The 17245-nt window shown below is 56.5% G+C and overlaps 2 protein-coding genes across 31 annotated transcripts in view, besides 2 other annotated features; both read left to right on the forward strand.

Moving 5' to 3' along the window:
• Positions 1-2237, forward strand: part of TEX264 (testis expressed 264, ER-phagy receptor) — a 33072-nt gene extending 30835 nt beyond the window's left edge. For all 16 annotated transcript variants that reach the window (NR_024012.3, NR_103462.1, NR_103463.1 and 13 more), the window contains one exon: positions 1638-2237. Coding sequence is in view for 13 of the 16 variants with exons in the window: in XM_047448276.1 (XP_047304232.1) it covers positions 1638-1930 (293 nt within the window). In the remaining 3 variants the exon portion in view is untranslated. The remainder of the gene's footprint in view (positions 1-1637) is intronic.
• Positions 1854-2722: an enhancer, noted in NCBI's record as "H3K4me1 hESC enhancer chr3:51737956-51738824 (GRCh37/hg19 assembly coordinates)". NCBI's record gives its function as "activates a minimal SCP1, AML or CMV promoter by ChIP-STARR-seq in naive H9 embryonic stem cells {active_cell/tissue: H9 hESC(naive)}" and the evidence as "EXISTENCE:reporter gene assay evidence [ECO:0000049][PMID:30033119]".
• Positions 4982-16527, forward strand: GRM2 (glutamate metabotropic receptor 2). 15 transcript variants are annotated; one of them, NM_001349117.2, is made up of 7 exons: positions 4982-5081; positions 6762-7347; positions 10387-11224; positions 11878-12035; positions 12976-14051; positions 15551-15731; positions 15953-16527. In NM_001349117.2, the coding sequence occupies exons 4-7, from the start codon at positions 11939-11941 to the stop codon at positions 16024-16026; spliced, it is 1428 nt and encodes a 475-aa protein (NP_001336046.1). In that variant the 5' UTR covers positions 4982-5081; positions 6762-7347; positions 10387-11224; positions 11878-11938; the 3' UTR covers positions 16027-16527. The 15 variants fall into 15 exon arrangements, 14 of the variants coding, with proteins under 14 accessions (NP_001336046.1, XP_016861760.1, NP_000830.2 ...); XM_017006271.2 differs by lacking the exon at positions 11878-12035 and having other exon boundaries at positions 4982-5568; NM_000839.5 differs by lacking the exon at positions 11878-12035.
• Positions 14364-15221: an enhancer, noted in NCBI's record as "H3K4me1 hESC enhancer chr3:51750466-51751323 (GRCh37/hg19 assembly coordinates)". NCBI's record gives its function as "activates a minimal SCP1, AML or CMV promoter by ChIP-STARR-seq in naive H9 embryonic stem cells {active_cell/tissue: H9 hESC(naive)}" and the evidence as "EXISTENCE:reporter gene assay evidence [ECO:0000049][PMID:30033119]".
• Positions 16528-17245: the final 718 nt, after the last annotated feature.

A 17245-nucleotide genomic window follows, 5' to 3' on the forward strand; every position in this document is an offset into this window, starting at 1 on the left:
CAGGCACATTCCTATACCTGGGGTCCCAAGAGAGCCATTGGGTGGGTGGGCAGACAGAACATACAGTTTAATAGGGCCAGGGAGAAACTGTCTCCCTCCTTTGCTCTTTTCAGGCCTGCGGTCCCTGGGGCACTGATCATTATTTAAGGAGCAGTGAGGGCCTGGCATCCTGTCCCCTGGTCAGAAGAAACTACCCAAAACTTAAAGCTCCCCCAGCTCCCTGACCACCTCATTCACAGGCTTCTGTCCTGGGAGCCACACCTGGGGCCTCAGCAAGAGGAGGGCCCTGGGCCAGCAGCCTGGGCTTCTAGGGCTCACCTCACCTCTGCCAGTAGCGCCCAGAGGGCATATTCTGGGGGCTGAGTGGGTGGTGGGGGTAGGGAGAGACCCCAAATTCCCCCCTCTCCTAATTCTCCCACCCCCAACCTAGGCCCCATTTGAGGCTCAAGGAAAGCCCCAGGCTGAGTCCAGGCGCCAAGCAGACCCCAGCTGCACCTGGCTTGGCTCCAACACCATGGAGACAGTGGCTGGGGAAGCTGGCTAACCCCTCACCTTCTGTGATGTTTGACAGCTGACCCTCTCCCCATCATACAGGAAGGGTAGCAGATCCACTTTCTCCCAGTCTGGATTCCTGCACACAGCGAGCCTGAGCCATGTGTTCCTCCTTGCCACCCCAGCCTGCATTCAGTGCCTCTGATCCAGGGAGATGAACCCAGGGGTTGCTCCTGGACAGGGCAGATGAAGGGGCTGCTTGCTTGGAGGATGTATTGGGGGTGGAAGGAGCAGGTTAGAAGGAGTTTGGGCCATCAACCTGGCTCAGCACTGGTTTGGGGCACCCCAACCACCAGCAGAGTGCTCTCATCATCCCCTTTTGCTATCTTGTGGCTCAGGAAGCACCAGTCATTGGGGGTGGGGTGGGTAAGGGTTTCTCAGGGTCGACCCAGGCATAGGGAGAGAAAACCCTTAACATGTTTCATCCCAGCACCCTCCTCCTTGCAGCTGGTTGAGTATTTCTCAGGCCTTCTCCATCCTCCTCGTACTTCAGCTCCCTCCTCAACTGGGACTTGGTGTGTACCAGAGGCAGGGGCCTGCTGACTCCCTGGATGCTGCTCCTGGGAGCCCTGCACGGGGGAGGGCTGCAGAGGGGCCTCCTGCTGCATTCTGCAGTCCTCGTGCCCTGTGGGTGATGTTCTGTAGCTGGCCCTGGACACATCTCTTTCCAAGCTTGAAGTGGGGGTGGGGGAAGGTGGAGAGGACACTACTTGTGTCTCTTTGTTCTACCTCAGCTCCTCACCTCAGGGCTGAGTGGCCCTTAATAAATGTGGGGGGAGGGCAGCAGGCTTTGTGGAAGTGCAGGGAGCTGAGGCTAATTTAGAGTGGGGAGAAGAGTGCACAGCTGCCTCCTCCCACCCTCTCTCCCTCCCTCCCTCCTTCCCTCCCTCCCTTCCTCCCAGCTCTTTCCCTCTGCCCTGTCTGTGCAGCCCCAGTCAGGGTAGAGGGCAGAGGGCAGCTGGAGCAAGCCCCCTGAGCCCGGGAGGCTGCATTATTCATGAGTGCACTGCGTGCTGAGTTGCCTCTCCCTGGAGGAGGGGGTGGGGTGGTCCTAGCTAACCTGTGCTCCCTTTTCCTGGTCATAGGAGCTGACACAATGAGTGACACGAGTTCTGTAAGCTTGGAAGTGAGCCCTGGCAGCCGGGAGACTTCAGCTGCCACACTGTCACCTGGGGCGAGCAGCCGTGGCTGGGATGACGGTGACACCCGCAGCGAGCACAGCTACAGCGAGTCAGGTGCCAGCGGCTCCTCTTTTGAGGAGCTGGACTTGGAGGGCGAGGGGCCCTTAGGGGAGTCACGGCTGGACCCTGGGACTGAGCCCCTGGGGACTACCAAGTGGCTCTGGGAGCCCACTGCCCCTGAGAAGGGCAAGGAGTAACCCATGGCCTGCACCCTCCTGCAGTGCAGTTGCTGAGGAACTGAGCAGACTCTCCAGCAGACTCTCCAGCCCTCTTCCTCCTTCCTCTGGGGGAGGAGGGGTTCCTGAGGGACCTGACTTCCCCTGCTCCAGGCCTCTTGCTAAGCCTTCTCCTCACTGCCCTTTAGGCTCCCAGGGCCAGAGGAGCCAGGGACTATTTTCTGCACCAGCCCCCAGGGCTGCCACCCCTGTTGTGTCTTTTTTTCAGACTCACAGTGGAGCTTCCAGGACCCAGAATAAAGCCAATGATTTACTTGTTTCACCTGGATTTGGGTTGTGTATTTGTTTGTTCTGCCTTGGTTGGGGGCGGTGGGGGGATGGCTGTACAGATAGGCTGGGAGTGGGAAGGAGCCTCCCCTCCCCAGGACAAAGAATGGAAGGAACATGGCAGGTACCCTGGGGTTGGGGGAGGAGGGGAGTTAGAGATCCTCCACGTCCTGCTCTGTGACCCCAGTGGCCAGCTGCCCCTCCATTGCAGCTGCCAGAGAGCAAGCAGAGCCTGGCTTGGGTGAGAGCTGAGTATGGGGTGCCCTTCAGGGCTCAGGAATGGGGAGCTCACAGCCTGTCTTCATCTGCCTCCAAGGGATGCCTTTGTGTCTGTGACTAGTGTGCCTGCACGCTGGTACTTCCCCAGTAGGCGAGGCTCCCCCACTGTGCCTGCCAGTGGCTGTGTACCTGTGTGTGTGCATGTGCACCCACGCTCATGCATTTGGCTCTGTGTAACCACGGATGGATGGGGCTGCTTGGGTAAAGCTGTGCCCAGGTGAGCATCAGGGTATGATTGTACCTGAGCATGGCTGAGTCTGTGTGGATGGCTGTGTGCCTGTGTGAGTGTGTGTGTGTGTGTGTGTGTGTGTGTGTATTGCTGTGCTTTGTGTCTGTGTATGGTTGTATTATAGGAGCATGTGAGGCTGGCTAACAGCATCTCTATGGGGGCTTTGTTCATGTACAACTGTGTGTGGCTGTGTCTGTACAACTGTGTGTATGGTGATGTTCATGACGTTCATGTATAAAGCTATGTGTTTTGCTATGTGTCCACATATAAAAACACACATTTGCTATGTGTCCTGCAGCCGTATATCCATAATTATGGCCATGTATGTGTGGACATGTCTTGGTGGACAGCTATTTGTGGCATGTCCTTGTGTGAGCAGCTGTATATATGTGGCTGTGTCCACATGTGCAGCCGTGTGTAGACATGGTCACATGTTCTTAGGGGCAGGGGTGTGCCCATGTGTATTATGGCTGTCTACAAGTATAGCTGTGTGTGGTTGCATGTTTATGTGTACTATGCATGTGGCCATGTCCACATTTACAACTGTGTAAGGCTAAGTGTATGTCCTCATCCGTGTGCACACAGCTGGGAGTGGTGGCTGCCTAGCTGTGTGTAACTGTGTGTCCATGTGCTGCGACTGTGCAGCTTGTTTGCTGCAGGCCACATCATGGGCTTTTCTGGCTGATGCTGTACACAGCCATATCTGTGTTTACAGCCCTGTGCCTTTTGTGAGGCTGACTTGTTGAGCAGGTTGGGAGTGTGGCTAGAAGGAGTGTGTGACTCCTCACCTCAGCACCCTCCTGCTGTCAACCCCTCTGCTCCAGAGGCCTGGCCCATTGCTCACCTACCCCAGGGAGCTGTTGCTCTGAGGCAGCCAGAGAGGGTGAGAGCAGCCGGTGGCAGAGTTGGAGGTGGAAGACAGCATGTCTGTCTCCCACTGCCACCTTGTCTCCTGTTAGTGATGGGGCTTGTGTTTGTTTGGGTTTTATGTGTCTGTTTCGTTTCAAAGCTGTATTCTTTCCACAGCAGCAGGACATCAGGTTTCTGTGTCCAGGGAAAAAGCTCGTCCTTGGTGATCACCCCCGCACCCCTACGGACTGCCACACGCACATGTGGGTGTGTGTGCCTGAGGGGTCTGGGCTTGGCATGTTCATTAGCATGTATCTGAGCTGGCCTTGCTTCCACTGACACCTGTGGAAGAAAGGGCAGTGTCGGGAATGTGTGTAGGGATGCCATGCCCCTTGGCACTTGTTAGTGTGTGCACATGTTAGGGGCAGATAGCACAGGCTCTCTAATCCCCATTCCTTCAGCACAGTCTGGCACTACAGCTTATCCACTACCCTCTACCCAGGGGCGTCCTTCCCCATCCTGCTGTGGGAGGGAAGAGTCAAGAGAATCTTCTCAGAGCTGTCCTCCCTCTGCTTGGGCTCCAGCTCTCACTCCCTCCTACGCAGCAGCCAGTTCCAGAAGCCTTTCCCTAGGCCCCTCCCCTCCCAGATGCCCCTGCCATCCCTAACACTCCCTCAGGGTTGACCCTAGTACTTGGTTCTGCAGCCCTTCCTGCAGGTTGCTCTCTCCTTGCTTAAATACCCTTTTTACATGGGAGTGGGTGGCAGGTTTAAAGGGCATCTGCAGGAAGGAAGGGGAGGCCCCATTCTCCTCTGACCTCTCCCTTCCCCCAATCTTTTCCTCATAGTGACTCTGGCTCCAGGTCTCAAAAGTGGCAGAGGACACATGCCTCCAACTCAGGCCTGGGATGTGGACCCAGCTGAAATCGCTGAGTGGGGAGAATAGACTCCACCCGTCTCCCACGCGCCCCTTTACCTATCCCCCAGAGGCACCCCTTGCACTAAGGCCAGCTCCTCCACTCTGCAGTAGCACTATGGGCACCTGTCGGGGCGCAGTGACCTTCCCCACCCCGTGCCCCGTGGCATCCCCCCGCCCCCCACCTATGCTCTCTAGGTGGTAGTCTGACTATGGGGCGGAGTGGGCCACGAAGCACCCGCTCCAGCGCAGAGCGAGAGCGCTCGGGGATTCAGCACCACGAGGCGGACAGCTCCAGGCCCTGAGGTCCCCAGAAAAGCTGGAGCGCGGAGTGTCCAGAGGAGGCGGAGGCTGGGTTGGGAGCAGGAGACCTGGCGTCTGGAGGAACGGAGGAGGGGCTGGGGGCGGGCCGGGGCCGGGGGCGGGGCGGGGCGGGCCGCGATTGAAAGCGGCGGGGCGAGCGGGCGGGCGGAGAGCGCAGAGCCAGCGAGCCAGCGAGCGAGCGAGCGGGAGCCGGAGCCTCGCGCCCCCCGCTCCACTCCGATTCTCTCCGCGCCAGAGCCAGCGCGCCAGGTAGGGTGAGCCGGTGGTGGTGGTGCCGCTGCCGCTGCCGACCTTTTTGGCCCTTACCTCACGTCCCAGGGTCCTGCGGGCCCTCAAGTTGTGGGGCGCCCGCGCTGCTGTGTCCAGACAGCGTTCCCTGAGAGCTCCGGGAAGCGGGAAGACAGCCCCGGGCGTCCCGCCTTTCTTCTCCAGAAAACGCACGCCCCACATCGCACTCCCCCGTTCCTCCTGCTCCAGCGTCCTCTGGTCCTTCTTTCTGTCTGTGCCTCCGTCTTTGTCTCAACCTCTCAGGCTTGCTCGCTCCCTGCCCAGATTTTGTGGCCCAGGCTCCTGGCTGTCTGACTCCGGGTTTCTGTCCCCTTCCTGCCTCTGAGCTTCCGTCTGGGCCTCCCCTCTGGGAGACTTGCGACTTGACCAGTTTTGGCTTCAGCCCCCATCTGGGTCCCTGTCTCCATCTGTGCTGGTCTTCCTCCCTGCTTCTCCCTCGCTTGCCTGGGTAAGCTGCTGCTTTCCTGATCCCCAGAGGAGCCCAGTGCCCCTGCCCTGGGGAGCTGAGGGGGCAAAATGAAGAGGCTCAGCCTCCGTGGCCAGCACATGGGGTCCTTGAGTTAGTTGCTGCCCTTCTTCAAACTCAGTTTCCTTTCCTGTTCTGAGGAAAGAGGTATGTCCCTCTCCCAGCCTTTCCAAGCCTGTGTGATTGTGAGAGCCTTTGTGGGGTGTGTGTTTGGGAAGGCAACTGGGGTACAAATGATTGGACGCAGTGGGGAAGAGACAGGGAGGGGGTCTCTGAGGGCCATGGCTAGGGTGGGCAGGGCCCTGAAGCTGAGGATGGGGAGATTGGAAATGGTGACTTTCTCTGCTGGGTCGGGAGTGAAGAGAAAACAGAGGCACAAAATCTCAAGCAGTGTTCTACACAGAGCTAGAGAGTCCCGCACTCTCACCCTCAGCACTGTTTGGAGACTCTAGCCCCCAACCCTGACACACACATACGTGAACATCTGCTTGCCCTGTTGACTTAGGACCTTGAGCCACTTGGGTACCCTCCCTGAGGCCAGCCATTCCACCTTGCTGTCTCATTCCCAGGGCTTAGTGTCTCTATTCCTTCCTCAGTCAGCAAACTGTGGGGATGGCTTTTTAAGAACCAAAGGTTAGAACCCTTGGGTGTTCACATGGGCTCCAGTCTCCCCACGGGTTGGAGACTGTCCCTTAGAGATGCTTCCCTTCCTCTTCCCTGGTGGGTCCTGAGACAGCAGTTCCTTCTCTCTGGAAATCCAAGGCTCAGGATGGGGACCTCTGAGTTTGTGACTGTGACATAGTCTGTTCCAAAGGTATTGACCTCGGGGTCCTGGGAGGTTTGTGCTGTTCTTGGACACCCTTTGAATTACAGAGGGGTCAGCATTGGCTGGGGTCTCCTGTCCTCTGCCTGGGACTTCACTGCTTGCATCTCTCCCCACTGCTGAGTTTGGTAGGGGAATATGGCCCATCTCTCACCAAGCTGAGGCCAGGGCTGAGAGACAGGTCCAGGGGAGTCCCAGGAGCTTCTCAACCTACTTAATGACACCATCCTGTCCCTCCCTGGCTTTTGAGTACCTAGGAAAGGGGCTCGTGGGGAGGCAGAGTCAGAAGGGGCAGCTGCTCTCAGGTTCCACTTTTCCTGGTCTGTTTTTCTGTCTTTCTATCTCTCTGCAGGAGCTGGGTCCCTTCGCATCTCTCTTCTTGTCTGTCCTTTCCTGGTCCCTGTTTCCTCCTCTCTTTGCCTTCGCTGCTTCTAATCTCATCCCCTGGAGACCCAGGTCTGCGGGACCCATCCATCCCCTTTGGGGCCATGGGATCGCTGCTTGCGCTCCTGGCACTGCTGCTGCTGTGGGGTGCTGTGGCTGAGGGCCCAGCCAAGAAGGTGCTGACCCTGGAGGGAGACTTGGTGCTGGGTGGGCTGTTCCCAGTGCACCAGAAGGGCGGCCCAGCAGAGGACTGTGGTCCTGTCAATGAGCACCGTGGCATCCAGCGCCTGGAGGCCATGCTTTTTGCACTGGACCGCATCAACCGTGACCCGCACCTGCTGCCTGGCGTGCGCCTGGGTGCACACATCCTCGACAGTTGCTCCAAGGACACACATGCGCTGGAGCAGGCACTGGACTTTGTGCGTGCCTCACTCAGCCGTGGTGCTGATGGCTCACGCCACATCTGCCCCGACGGCTCTTATGCGACCCATGGTGATGCTCCCACTGCCATCACTGGTGTTATTGGCGGTTCCTACAGTGATGTCTCCATCCAGGTACGTGGAAGCCACCCAAATGGGGGCTAGGGAGGGAGGCCGGAGGTGGTGACCCAGAATTCCTGCTGAAAAGGGGCTCATGGGCTGCTGTGAATTGGAAGGGAAACTAGAAGCTTCCTTGCAGTAGCTTTTACAGAAGCTAAGAAAGTGCCCTGGTCACATAATGGTGGTCGATTTTTAGAGACTGTGCAAGAGAACATCTTACTCTCATTACTCCCACACACACACACACCCTCACACACACACACACACCCCACACACCCTCACACACACACACAGCCCCCCACACACCCACACACACCCGACACACCCACACACACCCAACACACCCACACACACGCACCCCACACACCCACACACACCCCACACCCACCCCCACACCCACACACACACCCAGACACACACACCCTCACACACACACACACCCTCACCCTTGATGTTAACCCTGAGGGGCTTAATAGTCAGGTCTCCCACTTACTAACTGCATGACCATGGCACGTTATTTCTCTTTTCTGTGTCACAGCTTCTTCCTTATAAAATTGGATTCACAACACTTTTTTTTTTTTTCTTTTTTGAGACAGGATATCGCTCTGTCTCCCAGGCTGGAGTGCAGTGGTGAGATCTCAGCCCACTGCAATCTCTGCCTCCCGGGTTTAAGTGATTCTCCTGCCTCAGCCTCCCAAGTAGCTGGGATTACAGGCGCCTGCCACCATGCCCGGCTAATTTTTGTATTTTTAGTAGAGACGAGCCTGACCTCACCACGTTGGTCAGGCTGGTCTCAAACTCCCGACTTCAGGTGATCCACCCGCCTCGGCCTCCCAAAGTGCTGGGATTATAGGCATGAGCCACTGTGCCCGGCCCACAACACTTTCTACTTTGAGGTTTGCCATGGAAATTTAATGAGTTGATAGATGCATAGTATGTATCAGGGGCCCGGCAAGTCATAAGGGCACCGTTGATATTAGCTGCTATTATTTTTAACCCATTTTATAGATGAGGAAACGAAGGCTCAGAGAGAGGTGGGCCACATTCAAGGCAGTGGTGGAGGGGAACTGTGAAATCGGCTCTCGGCCAAGGGGCTCCTGACTTGTCAGATCATCTCTGCCTGGATTGGAGAGGGGTGGCCAGATAGAAGCCAGGAGTGGCCAGAGGAGAGAATCAGGGTAGGGGAGTCAGAAGGAAGATAAACAGAATATGTGTCGGGGGAGGGCACCAGAGAGTCTTCAGGGGGCACAGGATTTGAGGGGGTGGGAAGGGTGGGGAGGCAGCTCCCCTGCCCTCAGCCTCCTACTCTCCCACAGGGACCAGCAGAGGGTGCTCTGTGGCTCAGCTTCAGCAGAGGCTGCTGGCCCTGCTGACACCCCTCTGCTGCTCCCAGGGCTGTGCCCAGCTGCGATCCTCCCATCTCTGACTGGGTCCTACCTCTCACCCAGATTCCCGCTTGCCAAGTGCCCAGCACAGGCTGCTGGAAGATGCGGCTGGAGCTAGAATCAGGGCTGGGGGACATAAGGTAGGCCTTGGCTTGGCCTCAGCTTCCTTTCGGAGAGTGGCTGAGGGCATTGCCGAGATGGAGAGGGCCAGGCCCCCTGTCCTAGAACAGTTGTTCAGGAGAAATGGAGCAGAAGCAGAAATCAGAGAACCCTGGAGTCAGCTACCGGCCTGAAGTCGGGGAGGCCTGGCCACTCCATCCACTGCTGGGAGTGGATTATCTGTCCTGCTAATCCCAGACACTGGAGGTGGCTAGGCAGCTGTCATGCTAGTCTCAGTCACTGGAGGTGGCTAGGCAGCTGTCCTGCTAGTCCCAGTCACTGGAGGTGGCTAGGCAGCAGCCTGGGAAGATGTGGCTGTGCTAGCATCTATTTCTGCAGCCCCGGGTTGGGGCAGGGATGAGTGGGCGGCCTCCTACCTGCTGCTGTCTTCCAGGGCCTCTGCTGAAGTTTTCTCCACAGTCCTCCTTAGGGCTCATGCATTTATCTCCAGAAGTCCAGTTACCTCCTTGCCATCCCAAGCTGCCTGCCTCCTGGATCAGGGCCCACGCCTCAGCAGTGGTCTGCTTCTCCCTCGTCCTGATCAACACGAGGCTAGCCTGTCATCCGTAGGCTGCACCTGCCTGTTAATATTCCCCCTCATGGCTGCTCCTTCTCTCTTGCCCATGTCCCTATCATCTTCCCTTTGCCAGGCACTGTGGCCTCCCATGCATTATCGTTTTTATCCTCTCAGCAGCCTTGTAGGGCAGGAATGTGAAACTGAGGCTCAGGGAGATTTGCCAACTCCAGGGGCCCAAAGGTAAAATGTGTGGGAGGGGAGGAGACATTGAGCCCTAGACTGTCAGAGCCATAGCCTGTATCCAGTTGCAACACAAGACTCACCCCTCTGCTGTAGAATCTGGGCCATGCTCTGCTTTCACCTACCCACCCTCTACCTGGCCCTTGGCCGGATCCCACTCCTGTGGGACCTGAGGGTGGGAGATGGGGTGCCAGGCAGCCAGTGGTAGAACGTTTAAGACTCAGGCATTCAATGGAGACCAAGCCTTGGCCTATTAGGGCCACCGGACCCTGGGATCTGTGTCTTTCTTCCTAGGGGAAACTTTTCCTTCTTTCTGTATCATTCCATCAGATTGATTCAGGGGAAGGGCCACCTACCCTCAAATAAGTAGAGAGCCGAAGAGCCCTGAGTAGCCAGATGCCATCTCATGCCTCCCTCTGCCCCAGTGTAGCCAGGTGCCAACCTCCCTCCACCCAGGCCTTCCTTGGCCCCCCTGCCATGTGTCTAAAAGGGGATGGCAGAGGGGATCAGGTGTGGCTCATGACCCTGGTGTCTCCACCCTGGGTCTTCTCTCTCTCAGCCCTTGGAAAGAGATAAAAAAACTCCCTAGCCCAGAGGGAAGACTGTCAAGTCAGGATGCAGGGCTTTAGAGAGGGAGCCTTTAGGCCTGACCTTGTGGACACTTGACACCAAGACCTGCTAGCTGTGGGGGATGCACCTGTCTCTAGTGTTTGATCTGACCGCTGATCTTTGCCTTCTCTACTCCTCCCCCAGGTGGCCAACCTCTTGAGGCTATTTCAGATCCCACAGATTAGCTACGCCTCTACCAGTGCCAAGCTGAGTGACAAGTCCCGCTATGACTACTTTGCCCGCACAGTGCCTCCTGACTTCTTCCAAGCCAAGGCCATGGCTGAGATTCTCCGCTTCTTCAACTGGACCTATGTGTCCACTGTGGCGTCTGAGGGCGACTATGGCGAGACAGGCATTGAGGCCTTTGAGCTAGAGGCTCGTGCCCGCAACATCTGTGTGGCCACCTCGGAGAAAGTGGGCCGTGCCATGAGCCGCGCGGCCTTTGAGGGTGTGGTGCGAGCCCTGCTGCAGAAGCCCAGTGCCCGCGTGGCTGTCCTGTTCACCCGTTCTGAGGATGCCCGGGAGCTGCTTGCTGCCAGCCAGCGCCTCAATGCCAGCTTCACCTGGGTGGCCAGTGATGGTTGGGGGGCCCTGGAGAGTGTGGTGGCAGGCAGTGAGGGGGCTGCTGAGGGTGCTATCACCATCGAGCTGGCCTCCTACCCCATCAGTGACTTTGCCTCCTACTTCCAGAGCCTGGACCCTTGGAACAACAGCCGGAACCCCTGGTTCCGTGAATTCTGGGAGCAGAGGTTCCGCTGCAGCTTCCGGCAGCGAGACTGCGCAGCCCACTCTCTCCGGGCTGTGCCCTTTGAGCAGGAGTCCAAGATCATGTTTGTGGTCAATGCAGTGTACGCCATGGCCCATGCGCTCCACAACATGCACCGTGCCCTCTGCCCCAACACCACCCGGCTCTGTGACGCGATGCGGCCAGTTAACGGGCGCCGCCTCTACAAGGACTTTGTGCTCAACGTCAAGTTTGATGGTAATGGTGTTGGCCAGTGTCCATTGGCCTGCTGGCTGTCAGAGGATGAGGGGAAGCAGAACTTCAGCTTCCATTCCTTTGCTAAGGAAACAGTAGAGTGAAAGTAAAGGACTCACCTGGGGTGGCGTCAGAGCAAGGGCAAGGATGCTAGGCAGAGAGGACTCCAACTGAAGCTACGGCTGAGGTTCCACTTTCTTCCAGAGAGTAGACCTCTGGCCTGGTCCCGCCATTTTGAGGGTCTCTGGCTCCTCCTTGGGCCTTGCCCACTGTCTTCTGTCTCCTTATCTTGCCAAAGGTGGAGACCAGGAGACCTCAAGCCCATTCTCAGGCAGCACCAAGAGTTAGAATCAGTCTGGCTTGAGGGTGAGCATCAGGATGACGCTCTATATTCACGGAAAATGTCTTTCTGTCTTTCTTTTTTCTTTTCTTTCTTTTTTCTTTCTTTCTTTCTTTCTTTCTTTTCTTAGATGGGGTCTCACTATATTTTGTAGGCTGGAGTGCAGTGGTTATTCACAGGCACAATACAGCCTCCAACTCCTGGGCTCAAGCGATCCTTCTGCCTCAGTCTCCAGAGTAGCTAGGATGACAGGCATGTGGCACTGCTCCTAGCTTCAGGGAAAATTTCTATTCCTAATCTTGATTTTCCACTCAAGGTGACCTGAAAGTCTCCTGAAATCAAAAGTTATTTTAATAAGAGTGCCAGCTTTAAGAGAAATGACTGCTGCAGATCATCACTATGCTTCAGGAAGAATCACCGTGGGAACAGTGGGAGACAAAGCTTGGAAGCCCTGGCCCAGGGTTAAGATGAAGAGTACTTCCAATAGAACTGACATTCAGAGTTAGCTACAATCAGTGTAGGGGTTAGGGTTGGAATCTGGGGTCCGATTTGGTTGATGTTAGAGCAAGGCTAAATTCAGCATGTTTGGCTTGGGTGGAATTTATGGTAGGGCTAGAGTTGGATTTTGAGAACTTTTAGGCTGAGTAGAAAGAGTAGGTGCTTGAGGGGACCTGGGTTTGAATCTAGGCTGCACTATTCACTCATGGGGCCTTAAGCATGTCTTCTGCTTTCTTGAACCCTGATTTCTCACTGGGGCCAGGGATGGCTGTAAATCCTGGCTAGAGCCTGGCTGGGAGATGTGAGGTTTACAGGGGATGAAGTGGGGGTGGAGAGAGGAAGTGATTTTCCAGCCACTGACCACATTCTGGTGAATGGCAGTGGTTGCAGGTGACCAGTGAGGTTGGGATTCAGTTTGCACCAGGATGACTGTTAGGACTAGGGGTGCTGGAGCTGGGGTTGTTGTTAGGATTAGTGGGGACAGGATTGGAGCTGAGACTGGGTTTAGCCTTAGCATTGAGTTTGGGGAGAGGGCTGTAGTGTATGTTTCGATGAAGTTGGGATTTGGAGCCTGGGTTGGAAAGTGTTGGATAGTACTAAAGTTGAATTTGGGGAGTCATGGTTGGGGATTGATGTGGGCATTAGGTTTTTGGAGATGTCTGGGCTTTAAGGCTGGGATTACATTTGGCATTTAGGGTTGGGGTTTGATGTTGGAGTTTAGGAGTAAGACTTTGTTGTCATCTCTCATTTAGAAAAATGATTGGGGTCAAGGCAGGATTTAGTATTGGGTTAAGGATTGGAAGGGCTAATGGTGGTCTTAGCTCTGGCATTTGGGTTCCATGTTAGGGTGAATGTTGAGGTCACATCAGGGTAACACACTAGTCCAACCTTCTCTTCCTTCCCTCCCCCATCCTAGCCCCCTTTCGCCCAGCTGACACCCACAATGAGGTCCGCTTTGACCGCTTTGGTGATGGTATTGGCCGCTACAACATCTTCACCTATCTGCGTGCAGGCAGTGGGCGCTATCGCTACCAGAAGGTGGGCTACTGGGCAGAAGGCTTGACTCTGGACACCAGCCTCATCCCATGGGCCTCACCCTCAGCCGGCCCCCTGCCCGCCTCTCGCTGCAGTGAGCCCTGCCTCCAGAATGAGGTGAAGAGTGTGCAGCCGGGCGAAGTCTGCTGCTGGCTCTGCATTCCGTGCCAGCCCTATGAGTACCGATTGGACGAATTCACTTGCGCTGATTGTGGCCTGGGCTACTGGCCCAATGCCAGCCTGACTGGCTGCTTCGAACTGCCCCAGGAGTACATCCGCTGGGGCGATGCCTGGGCTGTGGGACCTGTCACCATCGCCTGCCTCGGTGCCCTGGCCACCCTCTTTGTGCTGGGTGTCTTTGTGCGGCACAATGCCACACCAGTGGTCAAGGCCTCAGGTCGGGAGCTCTGCTACATCCTGCTGGGTGGTGTCTTCCTCTGCTACTGCATGACCTTCATCTTCATTGCCAAGCCATCCACGGCAGTGTGTACCTTACGGCGTCTTGGTTTGGGCACTGCCTTCTCTGTCTGCTACTCAGCCCTGCTCACCAAGACCAACCGCATTGCACGCATCTTCGGTGGGGCCCGGGAGGGTGCCCAGCGGCCACGCTTCATCAGTCCTGCCTCACAGGTGGCCATCTGCCTGGCACTTATCTCGGGCCAGCTGCTCATCGTGGTCGCCTGGCTGGTGGTGGAGGCACCGGGCACAGGCAAGGAGACAGCCCCCGAACGGCGGGAGGTGGTGACACTGCGCTGCAACCACCGCGATGCAAGTATGTTGGGCTCGCTGGCCTACAATGTGCTCCTCATCGCGCTCTGCACGCTTTATGCCTTCAAGACTCGCAAGTGCCCCGAAAACTTCAACGAGGCCAAGTTCATTGGCTTCACCATGTACACCACCTGCATCATCTGGCTGGCATTCCTGCCCATCTTCTATGTCACCTCCAGTGACTACCGGGTGAGCTACCTGCCACAGAGGTCGGGGGAGATGGGACACCAGACCCTCTGTTTCCTGGTATCTTATTTAATCTACTGGTAGCTCTGGGGTTCCAAGAGGATAATGCCCACTCAGGGGACCACAGCTTGTGTGGATCCCAAGGGGAAGGTGGGAGGGCTGAATAGGACCTAGGGAAATGGCCAGGGAGGTGGGGAACTCGAGTTAGAGAGAGCTGAGATTTCAGGACTTGAATGTCATCCCCTATCCTGGAAGGTGATGGGGGTGCAGAAATATGTTCAAATGGACAGGGTTCTGCCCTGCTCCACTGAGGGGTCATCTGCAGAAGGGGTTGAGAGATGAAGCCAGGGAAGGCAGGAAAGATGAAGCAAGGTGGGTAGGGGAGGAGATCCAGGGTATAGAGTTGAGAAAAGCTAAAGCAGGTGAAAATTGTTCCCCAGTTGGTGGCTTCTGAGCAAATTTGGTTCCAACTGGCACTGTGTCTCAATGGGTCTCCCCAGCTCCAAGGGGCAATGGCTGCTTCAGATAGGGTGGTCAGGGAAGCCCTCTCTGAGGAGGTGACAGATGAGCTATGTTCTGAGTAAGAAGATTATCTTGGTTAATCTTCATAACTTGAGTAAGCTCCATGGCTCTCCCGTTTTACAGATGAAGAAACAGAGACTCAGGGAGGTTCAATCCCTTGCCCAAGGTCACTCAGCTTGGGAGTGCAGAGCAGGGTCTGAACTGCAGAAAAATTGAGGCGAAAGCCCCGGCAAAGGCCCCTTCCCCAGGACAGAGGTGTGGTGGCACAGTGCTGGGGGCCAGGGACCGCTGGGCTTGGCTGCTCTGCTTGCACCTGCTGGGCCACCTGCTTGGGTGGTAGAGGCCAGGGCTGGGGAGGGATTCTGCTCTGACTCAGCCTGCATTTGCATATGATTTGCATTTGCATGCCAATCACAGGCAGCTAAGGACTCACCTGAGACACACACCGTACCCACACATGCATGCACACACACACACACACTTGTACACACAGACATAGCCACATGCATGCATGCACACACACATATCCCACATACACACACTCGCTGGCACACACACATATATCTTCCTGACAAATGAATCCATACCCATGCACCCTACACTCACGCACACATACACTCACGCAGACACCTGCAGAAATTCACCACCCCACATACATGCACTTACACAGATATACACACACACCTACATGCACGCACTCCATTCCTGCAGCCCCCAGATGCACACACCCCTGTGTATACATGCCCCCCTGCATGTTCTCCCCTTCAGCTGGAACTCTTGTCACCCTGGGAAAATGGTCTGGGTCTGATGCTGGGACTGTGCCCAATTTTCCTAGCAATGCTTTGGGATCCGGCAAATGGACCACAGCCCAGTGTTGGATGCTTAGTCTCCCCCACTCCCTCCCCCACAGATCAGGCAGGGGGTCCTGGGGTCAGGCCCAGGTCTTGACCTGTGCTTGTTCACCCACTCACCCACCGCAGGTACAGACCACCACCATGTGCGTGTCAGTCAGCCTCAGCGGCTCCGTGGTGCTTGGCTGCCTCTTTGCGCCCAAGCTGCACATCATCCTCTTCCAGCCGCAGAAGAACGTGGTTAGCCACCGGGCACCCACCAGCCGCTTTGGCAGTGCTGCTGCCAGGGCCAGCTCCAGCCTTGGCCAAGGTCAGTGTCCTAAGCAGCCCTCTCTGCCTGTTCCCCTCTCCCTGTCCAGCTCCTTGGGTTGCTGAGATCTCTTGTCTGGGGGTGAGGTGCCCCCCAAATGACACTGGCAGGAGAGGACAGGAGAGGGGAGGGGAGGCTTCCCTCACAGCCCTGCTTCCCCACTGCCTGCCCTCCATGGAGGACCTCGGGATTGGCCCCAACCTCTGGCTTCCTTTTCTTAGGGTCTGGCTCCCAGTTTGTCCCCACTGTTTGCAATGGCCGTGAGGTGGTGGACTCGACAACGTCATCGCTTTGAAGACCCCATACTCCCGCCCTGACACAGCTGCTCCTGGGAACCTAGTGCAGACCCACGTCCAGGGCCAGGAGGAAGTTGGCTGGAGCACTGCAATAATTTATTACCCACCCTATGTCTGCCCCCAAAGTCACTTACCCACCTCCTTACCCCAGCTCTTCAGACTCAGAAGTCAGGAGCCTTGGCCAGGAGCCTCTGCAGTGGCCACTAACTGCCCTTGTAGCTGTGTTTCCTCCTGGCCAGGCCCAGGGCTCAGAGAGGAGCAAGCCAGGGTTCACTCTGCCCTGGACCCGGGTGGCTGAGGACGGCAGGCCCCAGTCCTAACCAGCAAAGGTGCTTCCAGCCCAGCCCCTCCCCCCAACTAGGGCCTTTTTTATTTTTTATATAAGTTACTCTGGGATGGGGAGGGTGGTTATTGTGGGGGCTGCCCCTCCCCCTGCACAGTAGTTTGTCCTGTGGTTTATTTTGTATTACCTGTAAATAAAGTGGCTTTATTTTAAAAAATCACTCTTTGCCTTTGACCCAGCAAGGCCCCTCACGCCCTCCACAGCCTCCCAGCTGTCATTCTGCTAGCGTTTAAATATCGACTCTGCTCTGTGCCTGATGTTAGGACCTGTCTGCCACCGAGACAGACCCAGCCCTGCCTGGTGGGGAGATGGAAAATGAATGAGCCATCCTCCCTTAAAAGGAGCCACTGCAGACTGGCCCAGGCATCCTGGGGTCGGGTGGGGGCTTTAAATGGATAGAGATGAATGAACAGGCTCATCTGGCAGTCCAGGGGTTTCCCTGGGGTCCCGGCCCCCAGGATGGTGTGGGTGATGGAGCAGGAGTGACCTCCGGGAATGGTGGGCTTTCCCACAGCTGGCCAGCCTGGCACTGGATCCTCCAAATGCATGGAGCCACACTGAGCATTTGGTGCAGGGGGAACCAAGAGGAGGCATGGACTGAATGTCACCTGTTCACTGGCACTTACAAAGGCAGAAGGAGCTTATGGGGAGAGGGGGTGGGTGAAGCAGGGAGGGCAGAGGCGGAGCAGCTGGAGACACCATCTGCTGTCAAGCCCAGCGAGAAGTCAGAAAAGGGAGCGTTTCTCCAGTCCCCGGAGGAGCTCTGGCCTGATGGGCCAGTTGAGGAGCCCAGAGCCCTTGGGCATCTCTGGAGTTTGCTGTCAGGGCTCACCAGCAGAGGGCACTAAGGTACATGGCTGTGGCCAGGCGACCGC

Source organism: Homo sapiens, chromosome 3 (assembly GCF_000001405.40).
Source record: "Homo sapiens chromosome 3, GRCh38.p14 Primary Assembly".
Classification (NCBI taxonomy): domain Eukaryota; kingdom Metazoa; phylum Chordata; class Mammalia; order Primates; family Hominidae; genus Homo; species Homo sapiens.

Bases quoted from the DNA above. Each gene is read 5' to 3' on its own strand.
- GRM2 (XM_017006271.2), top strand. From the start codon at position 6,898: ATGGGATCGCTGCTTGCGCTCCTGGCACTGCTGCTGCTGTGGGGTGCT. The intron at 11,225-12,975 runs GTAATGGTGTTG...CCCCCATCCTAG, and splicing joins GCTCAACGTCAAGTTTGATG to CCCCCTTTCGCCCAGCTGAC. The intron at 14,052-15,550 runs GTGAGCTACCTG...CACCCACCGCAG, and splicing joins TCACCTCCAGTGACTACCGG to GTACAGACCACCACCATGTG.